The sequence below is a fragment of the Homo sapiens genome, chromosome 13 (genome assembly GCF_000001405.40).
Source record: "Homo sapiens chromosome 13, GRCh38.p14 Primary Assembly".
Lineage (NCBI taxonomy): Eukaryota > Metazoa > Chordata > Mammalia > Primates > Hominidae > Homo > Homo sapiens.
In genome coordinates this window covers 46,227,237-46,254,238 of record NC_000013.11, presented here as the reverse complement: position 1 = coordinate 46,254,238, position 27,002 = coordinate 46,227,237, and the positions used below count along the sequence as shown (strand labels likewise).

At 35.1% G+C, this 27,002-nt stretch overlaps 1 protein-coding gene, 1 non-coding gene and 1 pseudogene across 23 annotated transcripts in view; 1 reads left to right on the top strand and 2 right to left on the bottom strand.

Annotated features, from left to right (window-relative positions):
• LRRC63 (leucine rich repeat containing 63) overlaps positions 1 to 27,002 on the bottom strand; it is a 65,188-nt gene that overhangs the window by 22,877 nt on the left and 15,309 nt on the right. For 5 of the 22 annotated variants that reach the window (XR_007063660.1, XR_941519.3, XR_941518.3 and 2 more), the window contains exons 2-7: positions 26,050 to 26,727; positions 25,506 to 25,574; positions 19,890 to 20,047; positions 7,614 to 7,712; positions 3,748 to 3,884; positions 120 to 339 (exon numbers count right to left, since the gene is read on the bottom strand). Coding sequence is in view for 9 of the 22 variants with exons in the window: in NM_001282460.2 (NP_001269389.1) it covers positions 3,748 to 3,884; positions 7,614 to 7,712; positions 19,890 to 20,047; positions 25,506 to 25,574; positions 26,050 to 26,727 (1,141 nt within the window). In the remaining 13 variants the exon portion in view is untranslated. Of the gene's footprint in view, positions 1 to 119; positions 4,215 to 7,613; positions 7,713 to 19,889; positions 20,048 to 25,505; positions 25,575 to 26,049; positions 26,728 to 27,002 lie in introns of all 22 variants that reach the window. The other 17 variants (NM_001282460.2, XM_017020422.2, XM_047430137.1 and 14 more) reach the window with 12 other exon arrangements.
• RN7SKP5 (RN7SK pseudogene 5) lies at positions 4,026 to 4,297 on the bottom strand (annotated as a pseudogene).
• Positions 18,466 to 18,569, top strand: LOC124903262 (small nucleolar RNA U13). The gene has a single exon (XR_007063961.1). It is a non-coding gene; the product is annotated as a small nucleolar RNA U13 (small nucleolar RNA).

The following is a 27,002-nucleotide window of genomic DNA, read 5'->3' as shown; positions in this document are numbered from 1 at the left end:
TTGCATCTAAAGCTCTACAAAGAATGGTCTACACTCATTATCACCAATTTCTTCCCATTCCATCACAACCCACTGCAAGCTGGCTTTTATTTCCATCATTCCACTAAAACTGTTCTCACCTTTACTCTTACTGAGCTTCTCTGTTGTATTTGACACTGTTGGTCATACTTCTTTTTCAAAATAATCCACTTCCCTGGCTTCCATGATACTCTTGGTTCTCTTTATGCAATTTGAGGCTTTTCCTCAGTCTTTATAATTTCTTTATCTGTCTGTATTTGAAACACAGATGTTTCTCCAGAAATATCTCCAGCACAAAACTCTCCTGTGAGGTTAATAGGTCTAGGTCCAGAATTGTGATGAAAAACAGAAATCTAAAATCAACATGTTAATCTAAAACAAAACCAATTATTTTCCTTCATTCAAACCTCCTCAGCCTTCATTGTCACTCTTGTGCTTAAAAACAAGCAATGGCTTCTCAGTGCACTTTAAATAAATTATAAATATTTTCACCTGACCCTCACAGCTTCATGGGATGTAGTCCCTATCCAACTCCTAAACCTCACCTGGGTTTTATTCTAAGCCATGCTGGCTTCCTGTCAGCCTTTGAGGAGTCCAAGCTCTCATTACCTCCCATGTTATTCCCACTGCATGAATATTCTTTTTCTTATTCTTGGACTGGATTTATAAACTTCTGCTTAAATGTCATTTCCTCAGATACACCTTTCTTAGTGATTCAATTTTTTTTTCTCCTGACATCATATTGTTCTTTTCAGTCAAAGCCCTTAGAATGTTTTATATTTATATATTCATATATTTATTATGGTGTTTATTAAAATTCCTGTATCGTGCTCTGGATTCTAAGCCCCATAAGGGAAAAGATCATGCCCCTTTTCCTTTAACAATCTGAACCCAATGCTTAGGACAGAGCCCAGTATTTAGTAAATACTCAATAAATACATTTTACATGATTGAATTGTTTCACTCTAACTAGAGATCTGGGCATTACCTTGACTTTTTTTTTTTACTTTGACTTTTCTGTTCCTTATAGCCTCTATGTCTCAGTTCTAGATCTTGCAGGTTTTACTTCAATTTCATAACAATTTGTTCCTCCTTCTCCATGCTCACTACCATTGCCTTGGTCCAAGTTCTCTTCATCTCTTGCTTGAACTACTGCAATGGCCTTCCAACTGGTCACCTTTAATTCTGTTTATCCCCTCACATCCATCCTCCACACTGCCACTAGAATAACGTAAAATATAAGTTTGACTCTACCACTCACATATGGAAAACCTGTAATGGTTTCTTGTTGCATACAGCATAAATTCTTTACCTTAGCTCATAAGGCTTCCTAGATAATCTGGTCCCTGCTTACTGTACCATTTCTTACCACTTGGCATTGCCCTCTAAGCTTCAAAACCAGCAAACTGCTTGTATTTCCCATCTCATGTTATATATGCTGCTTCTTTTCATATACGTTGTAACTTTTCATTGAAGAAATATCCACCCTATCATTGGCCCAACTATCCTTTGTTGTCTCTCCTGTTTAATCCACCTAATTCACACTCAGTCAACTTTGGATCAAATACTACATCTTCCAGGGAACCAACTCTCACCCTTCAGAATGGGTTACATGTAACTCATACATTTTACTGTGTACATCTCCATTATTTTACTTTACTCAATTGTATTGAATTGTCTGCCTTCCTTTTAGGTGGTGAGCTCCTAGGAGCACACAGTATTAATAGATGCTTCATGAACATCTGCTGAATTAATTACAAGAATGAAAGTATAACATTCAAAGTGTATCAGTGCAATTGCTTGTGATGGTAATAATGTCCAAACTCCAGAATTTACATGGAGCCAGAATATCTCAAATATATTACATAATGGTTTGGTTCACTAAATTTCACTCAATTTAATTCAGTTACTGATCTCCAAGTCTCACCACACTCCGTGAGGTCTTCTTTGCTCAGCAAGGTAGATTTCTGACAACAACCCTTAGATATGAAGAATTCAGCACCTTCATTCTTCACTGTATAAGTGCCCTCCTGGTGAGTTTTCATTGAACAAACTTTGCAAATAAACATTTTTATTATGTCAGAGCTTGCTTGAAGTCTTCTTTGAGGTCAATAAAGTTAAGTTTTCCCCATTATGTTTTTCATTCTTGGCTTTAATATGCTGTCATTCTTCCCCTGATATGCATACATATCCTATGTTATTTAATAAAAATATGCCGCTTTATTTCAGAAACACTAATAGTTTTTAAAAATAGCTTCTGCAAACTTTTTGATTATAATCAACAATTCATACTTATTTGTCCAATATCTAAACAATGAACAAAATGTTGACCTTTTAGTTATAATCACATTTCACTTGCTTTAGGAATTTTTATTTTGTTTAAATGGTAGTTATGATTATTGAAAATGTATAATTATGATTATAGATTATCCAGTAGGAATTCATGTTTAGATGCTGTATATATACATATATATTTATACATATATAGTTCTGTGTGTGTATATATGTAATTGTATATGTGTTTGTATCTATATAAACAATTACAGATATGTGTGTACACATGGGTTAGTATACATACATATATTACTTTGCTCTCTCCAATGAGAGGGTCTAGAAGGAATGATAACCTAATGGTGATGAGGATACCCAACACCCAGATCTTGGCTTTTAAACACTATTTTCTAATAAAAGGAAACAGGATTTCCTTAGAGAAATGGCAGATAGTGTCAGGGCAGGGAAAATACAGTTTATGTACTGTGGAAAAATCCGGATGAGTCAAACAGAAATAAAATACCCATATGTAACATTCTTACTTCTTTAGTGTTTATTCTTTCTTTTTATATATGTAGTGTGTAATGTGTGATATGTATATGCATTTTATACAGAAATGGTATAATTTTTTAATATAATTTCTTATTCTTTTAAATAACTGAATGTTTATGAATGTACAATTTTTTAGATCATTAATTACAAACAATACTGAATGAACATCTTTATAAATGAATTTGGATGCACTTCCTTAATTACTATAGATAAGACTCTTATTTTGCAAAGTATTATTCAACTATTTATGAGTCCCTTTCTCTTTGTACTGAGAGATTCAATTTGTTAAACTCTGATTGGAATAAGTATCTTGTTTTGACATTTGGTTAAGGTTTTGGTTTAAAATTTTCATTAGGAGTTAAATAATTACTAGTCCATACGTGGGAAGAAACCCATCTCTTTTATGTCCAAATATCAGCATTCTTATGGAGTTGAAAGGGTCTTAGATATCATATAAGCCAATCTCCTTAGTTTACAGATTAGGAAATTGAGGCCAAGAATGGTTAAATTACTTTCTCCAGATCAAATATATAATTATCATCAACTTTAAAGTCAAAGGACTAGATTTCCTCATCCCAAATTCAGTGCTCTTTCCATATCCAAAAAGGCTGTCAAGAGATAGGTGCAAGGCTCTCACCTGAACTGCTTTAGATAATTCCTGTTAATTTAACCCGTACTCAGATAACGTGTTTCTAAATGTATAGTCACTAGACCCATATTAATTGCTCTGTATGTAGCTGGTAGGATTGTTTTTAACACCATAAGAAGAAGCGTATTAGCTAATTAGAATAGAATACAAATTACTAAATAGCCAAAAAGCTGCTAGCTGCTTTGAAAGGGGAAATTGATCTTTTTCGAAATTATGAATTATTTTCTGTGTTTATAATCTCAGACCATCAACCTTACCCAATTGGAAGAACAGTAATTAAATTAAAAGCAATGGTGAAAATTCTAAGGAACTCAAGTTGTTGAATTTCAGAAGGAATTTCTTTGATAGGATTATTTCTCAATTTCAGTATTTGTAAATTTTTAAGACATAATATCTGGGGAACAGAAAAGAGAAACAAACATGAGCGGAATAATAAAGTATGCAAATCATTATTTGTTACCTTTTATAAACTCTCTGAACTAATGTAGAATCATTATAGCAACATTAATTGGCTATATCATGTAACTCAGTAAACACCCTCGGTCAACCTTCAAAACAAGTGACCAGCATTAATAGGTATGATATGGTGAAATAGTGCAACCACTGTACTCATACACCCTTGACTCAAGAATGGTGCTTTCCTAAGTGTGAAAGTTACCCTTTCTGATCAAGCTCACGGTTTCATACGAGGAAATCACGGAATAATGAGGGAGGAAGGAGGTATCTGCAGAACCAGGAAGAAAGGTGGAATTAACCTTAGTGATCAGAAAAGTGTTAGAGATCAAAGCCAGATTATTTCTGACATCCCAGTAATTTCAGGTACACTGATTTTTCATGTGAAATTTAAAAAATAGAGTAAACCATTTAAATCTATTATCTTCCTCTTAAATTTATACAAATTTTAAAAAGAAAAACAAAGAAATAATCTATGATCTTTACTTGATTAGTATATTTTTCTCTGGTGAATATTAACAAGGTCTTATATTAGTTCTCTTTAATATTAAATTCAACCTTGTTATCATCATAAAGGTCCAAAATTGGTGGAGTAGAGCAAGTTCATTCTTGTAATCAGGAAGCATCAGTGCTCCAAGTTTGCCTTTCTTTTCAAAATTATTTTGGCTCTTTGTAATCCTTTGCATTTCTATATAATTTTTAAGATCATGGAGCCATTCATATTTTCTAAAGACCTTTCTTGTGTCTTTGTAGGAATGTGTTCATTTCACCTAAGTTATTTAATTGATTGGTATACAGTTATTTATAGTATTTTCTTTAAATCTTTTTAATTTCTTAAGGTCAGTAGTGATGTTTCTTCTTTCATCCTGGTCTTTAGTAACATAAGTCTTCTGTCTTTTTCTCTTGTTAAGTCTACGTAAAGTTTGTCAATTTTGTTGATTTTTTAAAAGTAATAACTTCTGTTTTTAAATTTTCTCTGTTTTTCTATCTTCTATTTCACTAATTTCTGTACTAATATTTACTATCTCCTTGCTTATTCTCTGTTTAGGTTTAGTTTGCCCTTTTTTTCTAGTGGCTTTACATGAAAAGTTAGTTTGAGGTATTTCTTCTTTTTTAAAAGATTTACATTTACAGCTATAAGTTTCCCTCTGAGTACTCTGTAATGCATCTCAGAAATTTTGGTATGTTGTGTTTTCATTTTCATTTATCTAAAAATATTTTCTAATTTCACTTATAACTTATTCTTTGACCCACTGGTTATTTAGGAGTATGTTGCTTAATTTCCATATATTTGTGAATTTCCAAATTTCTTTCAGTTTTTGGTTTATAATTTAATTCTATTGTAGCCAAAAATAGACTTTTGTAATTTTTCAATCCTTTTAAATTTATTGAGACTGATTTTGTAGCCTAACATATGATTTATCCTGGAAAATGTTCTACATGAACTCAAGAATTGTGTATTCTGCTGCTATTGGTTTGAGTTAGACCCTAATACATTCCATACAGATTTATTAGGTCTAATTGGTTTATAGTGTTGTTCAATTCTTCTATTTCCCTCTTGTTCTTCTGCCTAATTTTTCTATTCATTATCGAAAGTGGGATATTGAAGTGTCCAATTATTATAGTTGCATTTTCTATTCCTCCAATTCCTTTGGTTTTTGTTTCATATACTTTGGGGCTCTGTTACTAAATAAACATTTGTTTATAAAGTTCTATTATCTGATAAATTGACAAATGTCTCTTTTTATCTCTAGTAACTTTTTTTGCTTTAAAATATATTTTGTCTGATATTAGTATAGTCTCTCCAGCATTTCTATTGTTGCTGTTTGCATGATATATATTTTCTCATGCTTTTGGCTTCAACCTCTTCAATCTTAAGTGTGTTTCTTTTAATCTTAAGTGTGTTTCCTGCAGACAGCGTATCATTGAATCTGTATAAGAACTTGTATAATTTTGTACAGTTTGACTATCTGTATCTTTTGATTGGATTGTTTGATATATTCACATTTAATGTTATTATTGACATGATTGGATTTACATCTGTCATTTCACTTTTAGCTTTCTATATGTCATATGTTCTTTTAATTCTTCCTCTACTGCCTTTTTTTGCATCAAGTGAATATGTTCTAGTGTAACATTTTATGACTTCAATAAATGTTTTCAGTATGTTCTCTTGAGTTATTTTCTTAGTGATTGTTTAGAGGTTATAATATACACCTTATCAGAATTTACTTCAGATTTATACTAACTTAATTCCAGTGAGATATGAAAATGTTCTTCATACATATTCAATTCCTTCTTCCTTTTTTGTCTATAATTTCTACATATATCATATCCATATATGTTACAGACCTAACAATACATTATTATACTTATTACTATGATTTTATGACTGTTTAAGAATCTTAGAGAAGAAGACCAAGTATATGTATATAGAGTTTGCTATATTAATCTTCTTTATTTAACATTTCTGCTTCTACCTTCTCCCATCTGAAACTATTTTAGTGGACACTGCAATTTGCCTAATTCAACCATTTTGAATTTTCCATGAAATCGGTAATAATTTGAATCACCCCACTTACCTCAGTCCCCAGCCTTTTATTCATTGCCTTTATGCCATGCTAACAACTGGGCCTCATTAGCCTGTCCCCAAAACAGCCTCTCTAAGCTTAGATATTACCATCTTCATTGGAATATTTTATCTATAGCTATATAACACAGACCTGCATTTTAATGACAAGTTGATCTCTGTCACTTTAACAATGAGCACTTTATATCTTACAAGTGACTAGCTCTCCTGTCTTCACACATTTATTTTTTAGTGGATGGAGTTTTCTTTGGCAGATACACAAATATTATCTGTATCTACTTAGAAGAAAGGTTAAATTAGTGTGAAGAACTCAGATCACTATATTCCTTGGGAATTCTTGTCAATTTCTCCTAGTCAAATTAATAAAACTGGTGTTATGTATTAGAAAAGAAATAACTTCTCCAATTGAAAATAAAAACATTATATTATAGAGAAAGTATGGAAAATATATGTTTTCAATACCATCTGATTGAAAGAAGAAAATACATTTGCCAAAAATAAACTCACTAAAAGACAATACTCTGGAAATCAATTCACAAAACCACCAATTACCCAGTAATCAATGAAGCAATGACTAAAGACACGAAAAACGTAATTTGTCCTAATCACTCATAATGGTTCATTCACTTGAAATGACATTAAATTAGCTCATCTCATATCTGATTATCCTTCATACATTTTATTAAGCAGAATATTATATTTTATCGTTTGGTAATTAAAACTTATTACAACACTGCATGTTTACTTTGTTTTTAAAGCTTCTGATTGGCACATAAATAAGGTTTATTTTAGATTACATTCAGAGTTAGAAGAATAAATATTTAATATACATTATAGAATTATGAGAACACATTTGAGAGTCTCACTATAACATAGTCTTTGAGGATTACATCATGGGATTTCCTAAGAAAGATGTACTGTACATTTTGTGCTTCTGAAAATAAGCCATTCAAAAGATGCAATCCAAAATACATTTACAGTACTTTATAGTAACTTCAAGGTATTAAAAGACGTCTATTTTTATTATAATTATTATTCACGACAAGTTATATCAGTACATAACAATAAAAGTTGACTCACTTCTGTGGGAAAGTAATGAAGATCATTAAATGATAAATTAAGATATATCAACTGGAAAGCCAAAGGTGTTAAGTCTGGACAATTTAGGATAAAAAAGCCCTAAAAGAAAGTGACAAGAGATAAGGTGTTAATCACTAACAAGGCACAAAATAGTTTATACAAGAGTAAAACAAAATCAGCACATAATTTGAATGAGAATGTTTTACACAATATACTAACAAGCCTATACTCCTCGTCCATTCATTTTTTTTTAGTCTGTCATGATAATAATTTCTTTGGTATGTAAAAGATAGAAGCAAAGTAGAAGCACTGTGTATTAGGCTGTTCTCACACTACTATAAAGAAATATCTGACACTGGGTAATTTATAAAGAAAAGAGCTTTAATTGGCTCACGGTTCTCCAGGCTGTAAAGAAAGCATGGCAGCATCTGCTCAGCTTCTGGGGAGGCCTCAGGAAACTTACGATCATAGCAGGTGAAGGGGGAAGCGGTCTTACATGGCCAGAGCAGCAGGAAGACGGGGGAGGTGCCACACACTTTGAAACTAACAGATCTCATGAGAACTCGCTTGCTATCAGGAGAACAGCATCAAGGTGGAAATCCATCCCCATGATCCAATCACCTCCCACTAGGCCCCACCTTCAACACTGGAGATTACCATTTGACATGAGACTTGGTGAGGACACAGATCCAAACCATATCAGACTAAGTATTTCTGTATGTGATAAGTGTAGTATTACACGTGTGACAGAATTATTTCAATCAATAACAAGCAAACATTGCTATGTGCTGAAATATAATTGAATCTATTTTATATTTAATTATTTTCTTTACCCCCTTTTTATATCTCCACCTCTATTTCTCTGATTTCTATCTGTTACTCTAGCATCTATCTGAAACTTCTTGTTAAATATGCCAATTTCTGTACTGTCTTCATTGTTATTCAGTTCAAAATATTTCTGATTTCCTCGGTGTTTTCTTTCTTGACCTATTTTTTAATTAGTGTGTTGTTTGATTTCCAAACACTTAGTGCTTTTTAATATTTAAATTAATATTTAGCACAAATATTTGGTACTTTTCTAGATATCTTATTGTGACTATTTTATTTCTGTTGTGGTACGAGAACTACAATATTTCAATCTTTTAAAATTTCCTGAGACAGGTTTTATGGCCCAACAAATGTTCTATCTTGAAATTGTTCTATGTGTACCTAAAAAGTAATGTTTATTCTGCAGTTGTTGGATGTATCATTCTATAAATGTTAATTAGGTCAAGTTAGTCGCTGGAGTTATTTCAGATCTTCTATATCTTTATTGAATTGTTTTTGACTGCACATATCAATTCTTGATCAAGATATATTAAGTCTAATCTCTAGTTATGATGGTGAATTGTTCTACTTCTCACTTTAGTTCTGTCAAATTTTGGTTTATGAATTTTGAGGCATTCTAATTATATCTATACACATTTAGATTGTTCTGTGTTCTTGATGAATTGACCCTTTAAACATTTTCAAACTTTTCTCTATACTTGGTAATATTCTTTTTCTTTAGTATTATTTTCTACCTAGTCAGCTAATACAGCCATAAGAGCTTTATAATGCCTACTGTTATCTTTTTCCAGTTTTACTTTTTAACCATCAGTATCTTTATTTAAGTACGCTTCCTAGTAAATAGCAAATAATTGAGTGGTTCTTCATTAGCCAGTTTGACAATCTCTATTTTTTTTATTGTGGTGTTTAACCCATTTACCTTTAACAAAATTACTAATGTGTTTAGGCTAAAGTTTACCATTTTGGTACTTGTTTTCTGTTTGTCTGATCTGTTTCTGTTCTTCTATTCTCTATTCCCCCTTTTTTTAGAGACAAGGTCTCGCTCTGTCACCCTGCCTGGAGTCCAGTGGCACAATCATAGCTCACTAAAACCTCAAATTCCTGGGCTCTTATGATCTTCCTCAGCCTCCTGAGTAGCTAGAACTACATGTACATGTCACCATTCCTGGCTAATTTCTAAACAGAAAATTTGTAGAGACAGGGTCTTGCCATGTTGCCTAGGCTGTCCTCAAACACCTGGCATCAAGGAATCCTCCTGCCTTGACCTGCCAAAGCACTTAGATTACAGGCATGAGCCACAGCACTCAGCCTTATTCCTCTATTCTTTTCTTGCCTTCTTTACTGTGAACAGACGATTTGTTCAAACACCACTTTTTAAAAATGACTTTCTTGTTATTCTCCTTAGTGTTGTTAAAAAAGTGACTTCTTTAAGGATCACAATATGTGCCTTAACACAACCACCCTTCAAAAAATATTCTACTACTTCATGATTAAAGAACCTTACAATATCAGCACCATAGAAAAGGGTAAGAAAAAAAAAGAACCTTACAATAGATATATACATTTAGCCCCTTCCAACCTTTTGTACTCCTGTTGTCAAATATTTTACTTTTATATTAGCTATAACACCCACAATATATGATTAATGTATTTATTTAAATAATCAGTATTCTTTTAAAGAGATTTCAAGATTGTTTCAAAAGGTCCTTTATATTCACTGATTATTTACCACTTATGGTGCTATTCATTGTTTCTTAATTAACTAGGTTTCTATTTGGTATAATTTTTTTTTGTACTCCTCAGGTTTTTTTCCAACATTTCTTGTAGTAGAGATAAGCTTGAGAAAAATGAATTCAGCTTTTCTTTGTCTGAAAACATCTTATTGCATATTCATCTTTTAGTGATATAAGATTTATTCTTTATCAATGAAGAGTTTATAAGTTTAAATAGTTGCTAGAAACACAGTCTTAAGGCAGAAATGTGCAAAATAGCAAACAAATTCTTTAAAGCGTATAACCAAGGGCCGGGTGCAGTGGCTCATGCCTGTTATCCCAGCACTTTGGGAGGCCGAGGTAGGCGGATCACCTGAGGTCAGGAGTTTGAGACCAGCCCGTCCTCTTGGTTTTTATACGATGGCCCTCCTTGTCTTACCATTCTTGACTTAAAGTTTACTTTATCTGATATAAGTATAGTTGCTCCTGCTCTTTTTTGGTTTCAATTTACGTGGAATATCTTTGTCCATCCCTTCATTTTCAGCCTGTGTCTTTATAGAGAAAGTGAGTTTCTTATAGACAGCATATAGCTGGGGCTTACATTATTTATTTATTTACTTATATTCAAGGTTTTTATTGATAGGTAAGGGTTTCCTATTGTCATTTTGTTATTCATTTTCTGCTTATTGTGTGAATACTTTCTTCCTTTTTACCTCTCTTACTACCTTTGTGTTTAAGTAATTTTCTCTAGTAATGTGTTTTGATTCTGTGCTATTACAGGTTTATGCTTTGAGGTTACCATGAGGCTTACAAAAAACATGTTATAATAGGCAATTTTAAACTGATGACAACTTGACTTTGCTCACAAGGAAAAGCATCAAAAACAAACTCCACACTTTAATAGCACCTTCTACATATTTTGACTTCTTGATGTTTCAACTTACATCCTTCCATAGTGCCTATCTCTTAACCAGCTGTTGCAATTGTTGTTTTTAATAGTTTTGTCTTTTAGTCTTCATATTTAAGATGTAAGTGGTTTACTTACCACAATTACAGTATTAATATATTCTGAATTTGTCTAGTTTTCAATTTTCTTACTTGAAGCAGTGAGTTTTATATTTTGAAATGTTTTCTTGTTACACCTTAGGGTCCATTTCTTCCAGATGGAAGGACTCCCTGTAGCATTTTTTTGGACAGGTTTGGTGTTTATGAATTCCTTCATCTTTTGTTATTTGGGGAAAGTCTTTATCTCTCCTTTGTGTTTGAAGAGACACTTTAATGGGTATAGTAGTCTCAGTTGAGAGGTTTTTTGTTTTTTTTTTTTCTTCAACACTCTCTCCTAGCCTGCAGGGTTTCTGCTGAATAATCTGCTGAAAGCTGTACTGGGGCTCTGTTGAACGTCACATGTTTCTTTATTCTTTGTGCTTCAAATATTCTTTCTCTTTGATTTTTGCTAATTTGATTATGATGTACCTTGGGAAATTCCTCCTGCATTTAATCTAATTGGTGACCTTTGAATTTCCTGTACTTGAGTGCTGCTGGTTATCTCCAGATTTGGGAAAATTTCAGCCATTATTTCCTTAAATATGTTTTCTAGGTCTTTTTTTTCTAAATTTAGCTTTTAAGTTCAGGGATACACATGCAGGTTTATTATATAGGAAAACTTATGCCATGGGGGTTTCTTGTACAGATTATTTCATCACCCAAGTATTAAGCCTAGTACCCACTAGTTATTTTTCCTAATCCTCTCCCTCTTCCCACCCTCCACCTTCCAATAGGATCCGGTGTGTATTGTTCCCCTCTATGTGTCCGTGTGTTCTCATCATTTAGCTCCCACTTATAAATGAGAACATACAATATTTGGTTTTCTGTCCCTGAGTTAGTTTGCTAAGTATAATGGCCTCCAGCTCCATCCATGTTCCCACAAAAGACATGCTCATGTTCTTTTTAATGGCAGCATAGTATTCTATGGTGTATATGTACCACATTTTCTTTATCCAGTCTATCATCGATGTGCATTTAGGTTGATTCCATGACTTTGTTATCACAAATAGTGCTGCAATAAGCATACGCATGTGTCCCTATAATAGAATAATTTATATTGGTTTGGGTATATACCCAGTAATGGGATGCTGGGTCAAATGATATTTCTGTTTTTAGGTTTTAGAGGAATTGTTGCACTGTCTTCCACAATGGTTGAACTAATTTACACTCCCACCAAGAGTGTATAAATGTTCCTTTTTCTCCACAACCTCAACAGCATCTGTTATTTTTTTTTCTTTTTAGTAATTGCTATCCTGCCTGATGTGAGATGGTATCTTATTGTGATTTTGATTTGCATTTCTCTAATGATCAGTGACATTGAGCTTTTTTCATGCTTGTTGATCACATGTATGTCTTCTTTTGGAGTGTCTTTTCATGGCCTTTGCCCACTTTTTAATGGGGTTGTTTGTTTTTCTTTTGTAAATTTGTTTAAGTTCCTTATAAATGCCGGATATTAGGCCTTTGTCAGATGCATAGTTTGCAAAAATTTTCTCCCATTCTGTAGGTTGTCTGTTCACTCTGTTGATAGTTTTCTTTGTAATGCAGATGCTCTTTAGTTTAATTATACCCCATCTGTCAATTTTTGCTTTTGTTGCAATTGCTTTGGTGTCTTTATCATTAAATCTTTGCTCATTCCTATGCCTCAAATAGTATTGCCTAGGTTGTCTTCCAGGGTTTTTATAGTTTTGCATTTTACATTAAAGTCTTTAATATATCTTGAATTAATTTTTGTATATGGTGTATGGAAGGGGTCCAGTTTCAATCTTCTGCATATGGCTAGCCAGTTATCCCAGCACTATTTATTGAATAGGGAATCCTTTCCCCATTGCTTGTTTTTGTCAGCTTTGTCAAAGATCAGATAGTTGTAGGTATGCAGCCTTATTTCTGGGTTCTCTATTCAGTTCCATTGGTCTATGTGTTTGTTTATGTACCAGCACCATGCTATAGCCCTGTAGTATAGTACGAAGGCAGGTAGCATGATGCCTCTAGCTTTTCTCTTTTTGCTTAGGCTTGCCTTGGCTAGTCAGGCTCTTTTTTGGTTCCATATGAATTTTATAATAGTTTTTTCTAGTTCTGTGAAGAATGTCACTGGTAGTTTAACAGGAATAGCATTCAATCTATAAATCGCTTTCGTCAGTATGGCCATTTTAATAATACTGATTCTTCCTATCCATTAGCATGGAACATTTTTCCATTTGCTTGTGTCATCTCTGATTCCTTTGAACTTTGTGTTTCATAGTTCTCCTTGTAGAGATCGTTCACATCCTTGGTTAGCTGTATTCCTAAAGATCTTATTCTTTATGTGGCAATTGTGAATGGGACTGTGTTCCTGATTTGGCTCTTAGCTTGACTGTTGTTGGTGTATAAGAATGTCTGTGATTTTGGCACATTGATTTTGTAGCCTGAGACTTTGCTGAAGTTGTTTATCAGCTTAAGGAGCTTTTGGGCTGAGACTACGAGGTTTTCTAGACATGGGATCATGCCATTTGCAAATAGGGATAGTTTAGCTTCCTCTCTTCCTATTTGGATGTTCTTTCTTTCTTTCTCATGCCTGATTACCCTGGCCAGGATTTCCAATACTTTGTTGAATAGGAGTGTTGAGAGAGGGCATCCTTGGCCGGGCGCGGTGGCTCACACCTGTAATCCCAGCACTTTGGGAGGCCGAGGTGGGCGGATCATGAGGTTAGGAGATAGAGACCATCCTGGCTAACACAGTGAAACCCTGTCTCTACTAAAAATACAAAAAAATTAGCCAAGCGTGGTGGCAGGCGCCTGTAGTCCCAGCTACTCAGGAGGCTGAGGCAGGAGAATGACGTGAACCTGGGAGACAGAGCTTGCAGTGAGCCAAGATCGTGCCACTGCACTCCAGCCTGGGCAACAGAGCGAGACTCCGTCAAAAAAAAAAAAAAAAAAAAGAAAAAGAGAGAGAGATAGAGGGTATCCTTGACTTGTTCCAGTTTTTAAGGGGAATGCTTCCAATTTTTGCCCATTCAGTATGTTGTTGGCTGTGGGTCTGTCATAGGTGGCTCTTATTATTTTGAGGTATGTTCCTTCAATACCTAGTTTATGGAGAGTGTTTAACATGTAGTGATGTTGAATTTTATTAAAAGCCTTTTCTGCATCAATTGAGATAATCATATAGTTTTTGTTTTTAGTTCTATTTGTGTGATGAATCACATTTATTGATTTGCATATGTTGAACCAATCTTGCATCCCAGGGATAAAGTCTACTTGATCATGGTAGATAAACTTTTTGATGTGCTGCTGGATTCAGTTTGCCAGTATTTTGTTGAAGATTTTTGCATCAGTGTTCATCAAGAATATTGGCCTAAAGTTTTGTTGTTGTTGTTGTTGCTGCTGTTGTGTCTCTGCCAGGTTTTGGTATCAGGATGATGCTGCCATCACTGAATCAGTTAGGGAGGAGCCCCTCCTCCTCAATTTTTTTGGAATAGTTTCAGCAGAAATAGTACAAGCTCTTCTTTGTACATCTGGCAGAATTCAGCTGTGAATCTGTGTAGCACTGGGCTTTTTTTGGTTGGTGGGCTATTTATTACTGATTTAGTTTTGGAGCTCATTATTGGTCTGTTCAGGTAATCAATTTCTTCCTGGTTCAGTCTTGGGAGGATGTATGTGTCTGGGAATTTATCCATCTCTTCTAGGTTTTCTACTTTGTGTGCATAGAGGTGTCTGTAGCAGTTTCTGATGGTTATTTTTATTATTGTGGGGTCAGGAGTAACTTCCCCTTTGTCATTTCTAATTGTGTTTATTTGGATTTTCTCTTTCTTCTTCTTTATTAGTCTAACTAGTGGCCTATATTACTAATTATTTGTTTCAAAAAATCAACTCCTGGATCTGCTGATCTTTTGAATTCTTTTTTGTGTCTCAATTTTCTTTAGTTCAGCTCTGATTTTGGTTATTTCTTGTCTTCTGCTAGCTTTGGGGTTGGTTTACTCTTGCTTCTCTAATTCTTTTGGTTTTGATGTTAGGTTACTAATGTAACATCTTTCTAATTTTTTGATGTGGACATTCAGTGCTATGAATTTCCTGCTTAACATTGCCTTAGCTGTGTACCACAGATTCTAATATGTTGCATTTTTATTCTCATTAATTTCAAAGTACTTCTTTTCTGCCTTAATTTCAGATTTACCCAAGAGTCATTCAGGAGCATGTCATTTAATTTTCATGTAATTGTATGGTATGAGTGATTTTAAAAGTCTTGACTTCTATTTTCATTGTACTGTGGTCCAAGATTGTGTTTGGTATAATTTTGGTTATTGATATGGTTTGGCTGTGTCCCCACCCAAATATCATCTTGAATTGTAGCTCCCATAATCCCCATGTGTCGTGGGAGGGATCTGGTGGGAGGTAAATGAATCATAGGGGTGAGTTTTTCTCATGCTGAAAGTGAATAAGTCACATGAGGGCTGATGGTTTTATAAAGGGCAGTTCCCCTGCACATGCTTGCTTATCGTCATGTAAGACATGTCTTTGCTTCTCCTTTGCCTTCTGCCATGATTGTGAGACCTCCCCAGCCATGTGGAACTGTCAGTCCATTAAACCTCTTTTTTTTTAATAAATTACCCAGTCTCAGGTATTTCTTCATAGCAGTATGACAATGTACTAATACAATTACTTTGCATTTGCTGAGACTTGTTTTGTGTTCGATTACATGGTTGATTTTAGAGTATGTGTCATGTGGAAATGGGAAGAATGCTGTTGTTTTAGGGGTAGAGTTCTGTAAAGGTCCAGATCCATTTTTGTCCAATGTTGAATATCTTTGTTAATTTTATGCCTTGATGATCTGTCTAATGCTGTCAGTGGAGTGTTGATGTCTCCCACTATTCATTGTGAGGGAGTCTCAGTCTTTTTGTAGGAATCTAATAATTTGCTTTATGAATCTGGCTGCTCCTCTATTGGGTGCATATATATTTAGGATAGTTATGTCTTCTTGTTGAATTGAGCCCTTAACATTATGTAATGCCTTTCTTTGTCTTTTTTGATCTTTGTTGGTTTAAAGCCTGTTTTGTCTGAAATTAGGGTTGCCTGAAATTAGGTCCATCTGGTCCTGGATTTTTCTTTGTTTGGAAGTTTTTTGTTACTGATTTAATCTCATTACTTATTAAACATCTGCTCGGATTTTTTTTGTTCTTGAGTCTGTTTTGGTAATTTGTGTTTTTCTGGAAATGTTTCCATTTTATCTAGGTTATATAATTCATTGGTGTACAATTATTTATAGTATTCTCTTACAATCCCCTTCATTTTTGTAAGGCCAGTTGTAATATTTCAATTTTCATGACTAATGTTAGTTATTTGTACATTCTCTCTCTTTTACTTAGTCTAGCTAATGATTTGTTTATTTTATTGATCTTTACAAATAACCTATCTTTGTTTCCATTAATTTTCTCTACTGTTTTTCTATTCTCTATTTCATTTATCTCTGCTCTTATCATTATTGTTTTCTTCCTTCTGTTAGCTTTGGATTTAGTTTGCTCTCTTTCTTCAAGTTCTTTAAGGTGTAAAGTTAAGTTCTTAATTTGAGATTTTTCTTCTCCACATACCCCTTCACCACATGTACCTATAGCCTTCCCCCAACATTAACAACTTGTACACCATGTTGGTATATTTGTTACAATCAATGAACCAACATTGGCACATCATTATCAACCCAAGTCCATAGTTTACATTATAGTTCACACCTTGTGTTATATATTCTATGGGTTTTCAAAATGCATAAGGAAATAGATTCACCATTACAGTATCATACAGAATCACTGCCCTAAAAATCACCTGTGCTTCTCTTATTCATCCTTTCTTCCCTTCTGCCACAACCCTGAAAACCACAGATACTTTTACTGCCTTTACATTTTTGCCCTTTCCAGAATGTTTTGTCATTGTTGGTTTTGTTCATTCCCTTCGTTACAGCCTTCTTTGTATTTAATTAATTTTCTGTAGTGTGCCACATTAATTCCCTCCTCACATCCTTTTGTGTATGTTTTAATATTGTTTTTCAGTAGTAGTTACTATGGGATTGCACTTGGCATCCTAAATTTACAACAATGTAGTTTGGATTGATACCAAATTAACTCCAATGGCACACAAAATCTCTGTTCCTATATGGCTTCATCTCCCTTCTGTTTTGTCACAAATTAAATCTTTATACATTGTGTGTCCATTAATATACATTTATAATTATGTTTACACATTTGTCTTTTAAGTGATATAAGAAAGAAAAAGTAATATAAACCGATAACCAAAATAATACTGACTTTTATATTTACCTTTGTAGTTACCTTCATCAGAGTTCTTTATTTCTTCTTAAGACTTTGAGTTGCTGTCTAATGTTCTCTCACTGTAGCCTGAACAACTCTCTAGCATTTCTTATAGGGCAGGTGTACTGGCAACAAATGCCCTCAGCTTTTGCTTATTGGGGAATGTCTTAATTACTCCTTTGTTTTTGAAGGATAGATTTTCTGGGTATAGACTTTTGGTTGACAGATTGCTTTTCTTTCAGCACTATAAAGATGTCATCCCATTCCTTTCTTGCCTCCATAGTTTCTGGCAACAAACTGGCTGTGAATTTCATTGTAGAGCCCTTGTACATGACAAAACACTTCTTGATTGCTGCTGTCAAGATTCTTTCTTTGACTTTGGCTTTTGACAATTAGATTATATGTCTCATTGTGGATTTCTTGGCAATTATCCTTCTTGGAGTTGATTGAGCTTCCTGGATGTATAGATTTGTGCTTTTAATCAAATTGGAATATTTTGGCCATTATTTTTTCAAATACTTTTTCTGCCCTTTCCTCTCTCTCTCTCTTCTTTTCTCCAGAGACCCCATTAAATGTATGTTGGTATACTTGATGATGTTCCAGAGGTCCCTTAGGTTGTGTTCATTTTTCTTTATTTTTTTTCTTTCTGTTCTTCATACTTGATCATTTCAATTGACCGATTTTCTAGTTCTATAATTCTTTATTCTGCCTAATCAATATTTCTAGTATTGAAACTTTCTAGAGAAGTTTTCAGTTTGGTAATGTAGTTTTCAGCTCCAGAATTGTTTTGTTTTGTGTTTTTTCTTTTGTCATTTCCATCTCTTTATTGAAATCTCTGTTCACACATTATTCTCCTTATTGAAATCTTTGTTCACACATTATTCTTTTTAGCTCTCTGTCCATAGTTTCATTTAGCAGTTTGAACATATTTAAGACAGTTTATTTAAGGTCCTTTTTCCAGTAAGTCCAATGTCTGTGCTTCCTCATAAGTAGTTTCTAATCCTTTAGTAGTTCATAAGCATGATGATTGGCTTTTTATGCTCATGAATAAAATATGCCTCCCTCAAGCCTTTTTATGACATTGGCACATTACCCATCTGACGTGAAAAAATAGAGCTTCTGTTAGTTTCTTCTGTGAACAAGCATTTTTTTTTGCATATTCCATAATTTTTGTTAAAAAGTGGAACTGGACATCTTAATAATTATTATGTGTTAACTCTGGAAATCACATTTTCCCCTCTCTTTGGGGTTTGTTTTGTTGTTTTGGTTTCTATTTCTATTTTTATTCTGCCTGATCACATCTACTATTGAAATCTTCCAGTGAAGTTTTCATTTCAGTTATTGTATTTTTCAGCTCCAGAATTTCTGTAGGCTTGATATGAGCTATAGCTATTGGGTTGTTTAATAATTTTCTAAACTTTTTTTGTGAAGTCTGTATTCTTTGACATATATTTTCTTTAAAATCTCTGCTCCTTTAACTTGTGTTCAGTTATTGTTTTGACATGATTTCCTTACACAACAGAAGACAGAGGGAGGAGGACAGAGAGAACTTCATCTTTTCAGATCGACTCTGTGCTAAGGCACTCCTTCAATGCTTAGCCAGGCCATTTACAACCACCTTAGCCTTTACTTCCTGCTTGTACTGCATTTAGAGGTCAGCGAAATGTGAAAGCTTAGGGTCTTCTCAGGTCTTTTCTAAGAATGTTTCTAGCCCCAGCCATGCATTTGGCTTTCCAAATTTCCCAGTATATGTGAATATTATTTTAATGCCTAATTTTTCAAATAAACTCTCTGTAGCTTTTCCTATTTTTACAACTTTTCTATGAGTTAGAACTTATTTCAAAATAAAACTTAAAATAAAAAAGCATTGATTTTGAGGCCAGAAAGTTCTGGGTTCAAACCCAAGCTCTACAACTTGCTTACTGTGTGATCTTATACAAGTTACTTTCATTAAGGCTCAGTGTTCTTATCTGTAGGGTAAAGATTATAATACTTACGTTACATAATTGTGTTTTAGGAGTAATGTGTACTTGGCACATAGTGGATACTTAACAAATGATAACTAATATTATTGCTATTCATGATATTGAGCTTGTGTTCAGTGAAAAGCCATCCTAGTACTAGATTTGTCACAGAACCAAAGATTGCTAATAACTTAAAAATACAATAAATCTGAATTCAAATTCTCTTATGCTAAGTAATAAAAAAAGCACTGTGATTGACTTGAACCTCAGAATCTTTTTAAACTGAAGGCAAACTAGGAATATAGGTTTAGAGATGCAATTTGAATGTGTTCCTAAGAAATCTCTATTGTAATAGGAAAATTCCCCTCAATACCATGGAAACTAATCTATATTGGGAAATTTAAAGCAAAAATAATTGATAATACAGGAGGGCACTGTCATTAAAAAGATCTAGCATACCTTCAGATTAAGTGCATTTCTCCCATATACTTGACAGTTTACTATGGCCAGGTTGGTCATGGCTGTTATTGTTTCATATCGTGTTGCTGCAACAGTCTTAAAACCTTCACCACGTACAACGTGTATCTCTGATTCTATTTTTTCAGTTTTGGTGAGACCTAAATAAACAAAACAAAACAAAACATAAAATTTAAATGTGTTATCACTTAGAATGAAAGTTAAGAGGTATTTATCTTATGATAATATTGAGTTACCCTAAGGACTTAAGTGTACACATCCTCTGGCAGGGATTCCCCATAGCCTTCATCTACCCAAACTCAGTTAGTTCTGTTTGCCAAAGTGGGTGTTGTTTTGTTTTGTAATTTTAAATGCACCATTATCTTCCCCAAAGTAAACCATATGCTCATAGATTTCTGTCTAGATAATTTAGATTCCATCAATATCAGTCTTTGTATACTATGTGTAAAAATGTTCTCTTAAAATTTACTACGAATTACATAAAGAACTTCTTGGCTCATAAAATTAATAAGCAACATCATGTAAGAATACCTCATGAAGACATCAGCCTCACTTTTTCCTTAGCATCACTTTGATGTATAATTCAAATGCCCTGTGTAATTAAACTCTTCCTTTAGTTTGTAGATCCCCCATAGGAAACAAACAAACATCTCAGGAGTAAGCCAAAGAAAGACCATCTAAATTTAAATTTACTTTATTATGACCCTATGGGTTTCACCTTCCATCAAAAATGTCCTATGCAAGTATACACCAAATGTGGCAGGAAAGTATTTTAAAATTTTATATATTTTACTTTTGCAGCCATTATTGCTGCATTGTTTGCAGAAACATATTTTATAATGTCAGTAATTCTTATGCTACTGGTTTGATGAGAGAAAATAAGCATCCTAGAACAAAGAAAACAAAAAAAGGTTTTTAATTTCTAAAATAGAACCTCTGTGCCCATTTCAGATCAAGAGATGTGAAAGCTGACCACAGAATAAAGAAAGATATATAATGTAATATAGAGATGCCTTGGCTTGGTAGAAAGAATGGAGCAAGAAGGGAAAGAGAGTGAATTAAGACATAAGTCTGTGGCCTGCTCCCTGCTCTAAGCCCACAGAGTTGGTTGTTGAGTAGAAATGAGGAAGATGGAGATGAAGAGGATGTGATCTCTCAAGAATCTGAGGATTCTTAAATTTTCTAAGGAGGAAACTACCAGAGAAGAAACTCAATAAAGCAAAAATGGCAGCATGACATGGAAGACACCCGGAAGTTAATTTACATCATAGACAAGGGTACAAAAGTTCTGGGAGGAATGGTAGGTTATGGTTAGAGTGTTCTGCTGTGTATAACCTCTTACTAAATGCAGCTATTTGAATTATTAATTGGGTATATTATTTTTATTGTTCTAGAATTTTATTTGACTCATTTTAAAAAACAAAAATACCAGTTCTGTGGTGAAATTCTCCAATGACCTCTTTGTTTTCTTGGACATAGTAATCATAGTTACTTTTAAATCCATTTGAAACTCTAATATCTGAATCAAATATAGGGCTGTTTTATTGCCTGTTTCTTTCTACCATTTTTCAGATATTTTATTTTTTTTTTAGAATGTGTTGTAATTTTTTAAATTTAATGTTGGACTTCGAGGATGAACTATTTTAAGAAGTCTGGATAATACGCCCTCTCTCTTTCTCTCTCTATCTTTCTCTCAACGTGTTAGGTTTTCCTTGATTAGGCAGAAAACACCATTATCAAGGATTGGTTTGAGCTTTGTTAGGGCTTGGCTATTTTAGTTTTGTCCTCTTTCCTAGAACATCATCTTTATTCCTAAGGAATGGAATTTCAACGGAAATTCCAATGTGTTTACAAAGGCCCCAACACTTTGGCAGAGCTTGAACTCTATTATCCATCTTTTGTGCAAACACAAAACTCTATGATAAATTTCTTGTCTTCTCAGCTGATGTTTTCTACTGTGTTTCTTGGAGTCTTGTTCTATACATTCACAGCTTACAATTAGCTAGCAACCTTGGAGTTTGTATGAAGATTTTTTTAAAGAGACTGTGATATAGTTTGGATGTTGTCCTCTTTAAATCTCATGTTGAAATGTAAACCCCAATGTTGGATGTGGGTCCCAGAGGGAGGTGTTTGGGTCATGGGGGCAGATCTCCTATGGCTTGGTGCTGTCCTTGTGGTAGTGAGTGGAATTCCGATGTTGTTTAAAAGTGTGTGGCAGGCCGGGCGCAGTGGCTCACGCCTGTAATCCCAGCACTTTGGGAGGCCGAGGCCGGCGGATCACGAGGTCAGGAGATCAAGACCATCCTAGCTAACACGGTGAAACCCCGTCTCTACTAAAAATACAAAAAATTAGCTGGGCATGGTGGCGGGCGCCTGTAGTCCTAGCTACTCGTGAGGCTGAGGCAGGAGAATGGCGCGAACCTGGGAGGTGGAGCTTGCAGTGAGCCGAGATCTTGCCACAGCTCTCCAGCCTGGGTGACAGAGCGAGACTCTGTCTCAAAAAAAAAAAAAAAAAAGTGTGTGGCAGGCCAGGTGCGGTGGCTCACATCTGTAATCCCAGCACTTTGGGAGGCCGAGGAGGATCACTAGAGGTTGGGAGTTTGAGACCAGTCTGGTCAACATGGTGAAACCCTGTATCTATGAAAAATACAAAAATTAGCTGGGCATGGTGGTGCATGCCTGCAGTCCCAGTTACTCAGGAGGCTGAGGCAGGAGAATCACTTGAACCTGGCAGGCGGAGGTTGCAGTGAGCTGAGATTGTCCTACTGCACTCCAGCCTGGGCAATAGAGTAAGACTCTGTCTAAAAAAAAAAAGAAAAAAGAAAAAGTGTGTGGCACCTCTCCTTCACTCTCTCTTGCTTCTGCTTTTGCAGTGGTGTGATATACCTGCTCTTGTTTTGCCTTCTGCCATGAGTAAAAGCTCACTGAGGCCTCCCCAAAAGCCAAGGGAATGCCATAACTACGCTTGTATAGCCTTCAGAACTGTAAACCAATTAAACCTCTTTTCTCTACACATTACTCAGTCTTGGGTTTTTCTTTGTAGTAATGAAAGAACAAACTAACACATAAAATTGGTACTGAGGAGAAGGGCATTGCTATAAAGATACATGAAAATGTGGAAGCCACTTTGGAACCAGGTAACAGGCAGAGGTTGGAAGTTTCTAGGGCTCAGAAGAAGACAGGATGATGAGGGAAAGTTTGGAACTTCCCAGAGACTAGGTAAACAGCATGACCAAAATGTTGATATTTATATTGACAGTGAAGTCCAGGCTGCCAAGGTCTCAGATTGAAATGAAGAACTTATTTGAAACTGGAGCAAAAGTCACCCATGTTACACCTTAGCAAAGAGCTTGGCTAAATTCTATTCATGTCCTAATGATCTGTGGAAGTCTGAACTTCAGAGTGATGACTTGGGGTATCTGATAGAAGAAATTTCTAAGCAGCAAAGCATTCAAGATTTGGCCTGGCTGCTTGTAACAGCCTATGCTCAGATGTGGGAGCAAAGCAATGACAAAGTTGAAATTTATATTCGAAAGGGAAGCAGATTGTAAAAGTTTGGAAAATTTGCAGCCTGGCCATACAGCATGGAAAGAAAAAGCTTTGGGAGAGGGATTCCAGCAGGCTATAGAGTAACCACTTGCTAGAGAGATGTGCATAACTAAAAAGGATCCAAATACAAATAGCCAAGAGGAACAAGGCCTCAAAGACATTTCAGAGACCATTGTGGCAGCCCCTCCCATAGAATATCAGACTCCAAGTTCTTCGGCTTTTGGGCTCTTGGACCTACATCAGTGGTTTGCCAGGGGCTCTCGGGCCTTTAGCCATAGACTGAAAGCTACACAGTCGGCTTCCCTACTTTTGAGGTTTTGGGATTCAAACTGAGTCACTACTGGCTTCCTTACTCCTCAACTAGCAGACGGTCTATCATGGGACTTTACCTTGTGATGGTGAGTCAATTCTCCTTAATAAACTCCCTTTCATATATACATATATCCTATTAGTTCTGTCCCTCTAGAGAACCCAAACTAATACAAAGGGACATGCCTTGTCTCACGTGAGACTTTGCACTTTTGAATGATGCTGAAATCAGTTGAGACTTTTGGGGAACTATTGGCAGGGGATGATTGTATTTTGCAATGCGAGAAGAACATGATATTTGAGGGGCCAGAGGTGGAGTGATATAGTTTGGATGTTGTCCCCTCTAAATCTCATATTGAAATGTAACTCCCAGTGTTGGACATGGGGCCTGGTGGGAGGTGTCTGGTTCATGGGAGTAGATCCCTCATGGCTTTGTGCTGCCCTCATGATAGTGAGTTCTTATAAGATCTGGCTGTTTTAAAGTTTGTGGCACCTGTACCGCACACCACTCTCTCTCTTGCTCCCGCTCTCATCATGTGATGTTCAAGCTCCCACTTTGCTGTATACCATGAGTAAAAGCTCCCTGAGGCCCTCACCAGCAGCAAATACCAGCACCATACTTCTTGTAAGGTCTGCAGAACTGTGAGCCAATTAAGTCTTTCTTCCCTATAAATTATCCAGTCTCAGGTATTTCTTTATAGCAATGCAAGAATGGCCTAACACAGACTGAGTCTCACTATGTTCCAGGCGGGCCTCGAACTCCTGGGCTAAAGTGATACTCCACCTCAGCCTCTCAAGAACTGAGACTACAGCTGCACTCCACTGTGCCCAGCTTGTATGCAGATTTTTTGATTCACCTTCCTTCAATTCTCTCCTCGCCAAGATTTTCTCCCTCAAGTCCCAAGTATATTGGCTGCTCTGAAGTCTGACTACTAGCTCCTCAATCCACTAAAACCACCACATTCTACTTGTAATCCATTCTCCCACACCACAAACACCCTCAGGCATGAGCCAAGGTAAAGGCAGAGCTTCCCTTCTTTCAGGAATTGTAATGTCCACATTGGTTACTGTCCAGTTCTACTCAAGTCACGCCCACATTGGTTACTGTCCAGTTCCTTCAATAGCTACTTTATATATTTTTGGCAGCTTTAATAGTTGATTTTGGTAAGGTTAGTCCATTACAAACTACTTAGTAATGGAAAAAACCCAGAAGTCACCAGGTTATTAAAAAATGTGCCCAATAATTCTAATACCAAATAATCCTGTGGATATGTTTCTACTGCTTATTGTTTCTGCTAGTTTTCATTCATTTTGTCTTTCTCTTTGTGTGCCTGGTAATTGTGAATTATTTGCCACACACTATATTTGAGAGATTGTTTGTAGACATAATGTAACATCTAGGATGGTATAATCTTTCTTCAAATATATTTTTCATTTTCATTTGTTTGATTTGCCTGGCACATGGCAAATAGTTAATTCATATTTCTGTATGCCTGTCCACCCCACCCAGATTACGAGTGCATCAGCTTTTATATTCTCAATATCAATATATTTGGTTCATAGTCAATATATTAAAAATAGCTGCTCCATAAATGACTTAGGGAGCTGAAAATGAGGTAAGACATATGTGTGTTATGCATGTGTGAATCACACACATAAACACAAAAAATCACCCATAATTTTTTAAAGATATAATCTTACATACATTTTCTAAAAGAATTGTATAAATCTAGCATTTACCTTCAGGTGGTCTTGGTGGGATTTGCTTTGGGACACTTTCTATATTTCCATTTTCTGTTACAAGAGTTTCTAGAAAAATGAAAAACAAATGGGATGACTTTGGATATTTGTAAAAATTCACTTGAGGGTTTTATGACTTCAATATAATTGTTCATCATTTAATGGATTCCAATTATCCATGAAAATATATTCATGAAGGCGTCTATCAGCACTGGCATTCTACTTCTGGAGTTCTTCTAGATCACCTTTGAATGACTGTGTATTCTCACTGCTTCTTTATATTAGCTTTTCCGATCCTTTGAATTCCCTTGTTGGTTCCCATTATCACCATCTGAATGGAGTACCCAGTCTGGCCTTGGCAGATCTGCAAGGTCAGGACTTCTGTTATTGCCCTATGGCTCAAGTATTACATGTATATATAAAAGGTGATTCCATCCTCCCATTCTGCAAACCCAAAGCGGGAGGGGTACCATTAGCTTGCATGCCTTCTCTCCCCTTTGCTCTACTTGACTCTATAATTATACCGTGTTCAGATTGTATTTACCTATCACAGACTGCCTGTGAGGTTTTCTTGGTAAAACTGGTGTTGGCAAGGAAACAAAACCTGGAAATTCAGTAACTCTTAGTGTCAATGTAGCAGTTGATTTAAAATGTTCAGGCCACTGTCCTTCTGGTTTCATAGATACAGTCATAGGTGGAGGGCTTGGCACTGTTGCACTTAAGTCTCTCGAGATGTGCTGATAAGTATAGCCTGGACTCTCTGGTAAAGGTTGATGCTTAGGGTGCATTTTCTCAAGTTTTTGAGCGATAACTGAGCCAGGAGTACTTTTAGGTTTGGAAAACTTGGAAGAAAGAATTAAAATGTTTTCTAGCCTTTTTTCAGTATAAACATCTTTCATAGTTTTAAACTTTCTTGAACTTTCCATTTTGTTTGTTTGTTTCCCAAAAATTCGAGTAGAAGCTGAATTACAATGTGGAAAAAATATGGAACCAGTAGCAGTATCTGGAATCTGCTCACGGACATGCTTAGTAGATTTCTGGGGTGATGAAATTGCAGTCACTCTTTCTTGTACACAGTGATCAAGAAAGATATTTTGGATATTGATAGGTGTTAGTGATTGATTTCTTAAAACATCAGGAAAACGAGTTCTATCCATTTTAATGGAAGTGGTTTCATCTTCAGTGAATGCTACATGTAGTGACTCAATTTTACCAGTTTTAGCTAAACCAAAAGAAAAAAAGAAAAATTAAATTATATTTATCAATATGTCACAGACAAAATATCTTAGCATTCACTTTTCTTTACCCACTCACCCCTTTCTCACCTTCTAAAAATGTTTCTGTATACACTTGCTCAGCTACCAGGATGTGTGTTGACATGACTGGTATAAAGTTTGAGTGAGCAACCGGAGAAGTGACAAGGCTAAATTGTATTAGATTTTAAAAGGGTAGAGAGCTATTCTTGGAAGAACAGAATTGGTAGAGAGAAGGGGAGAT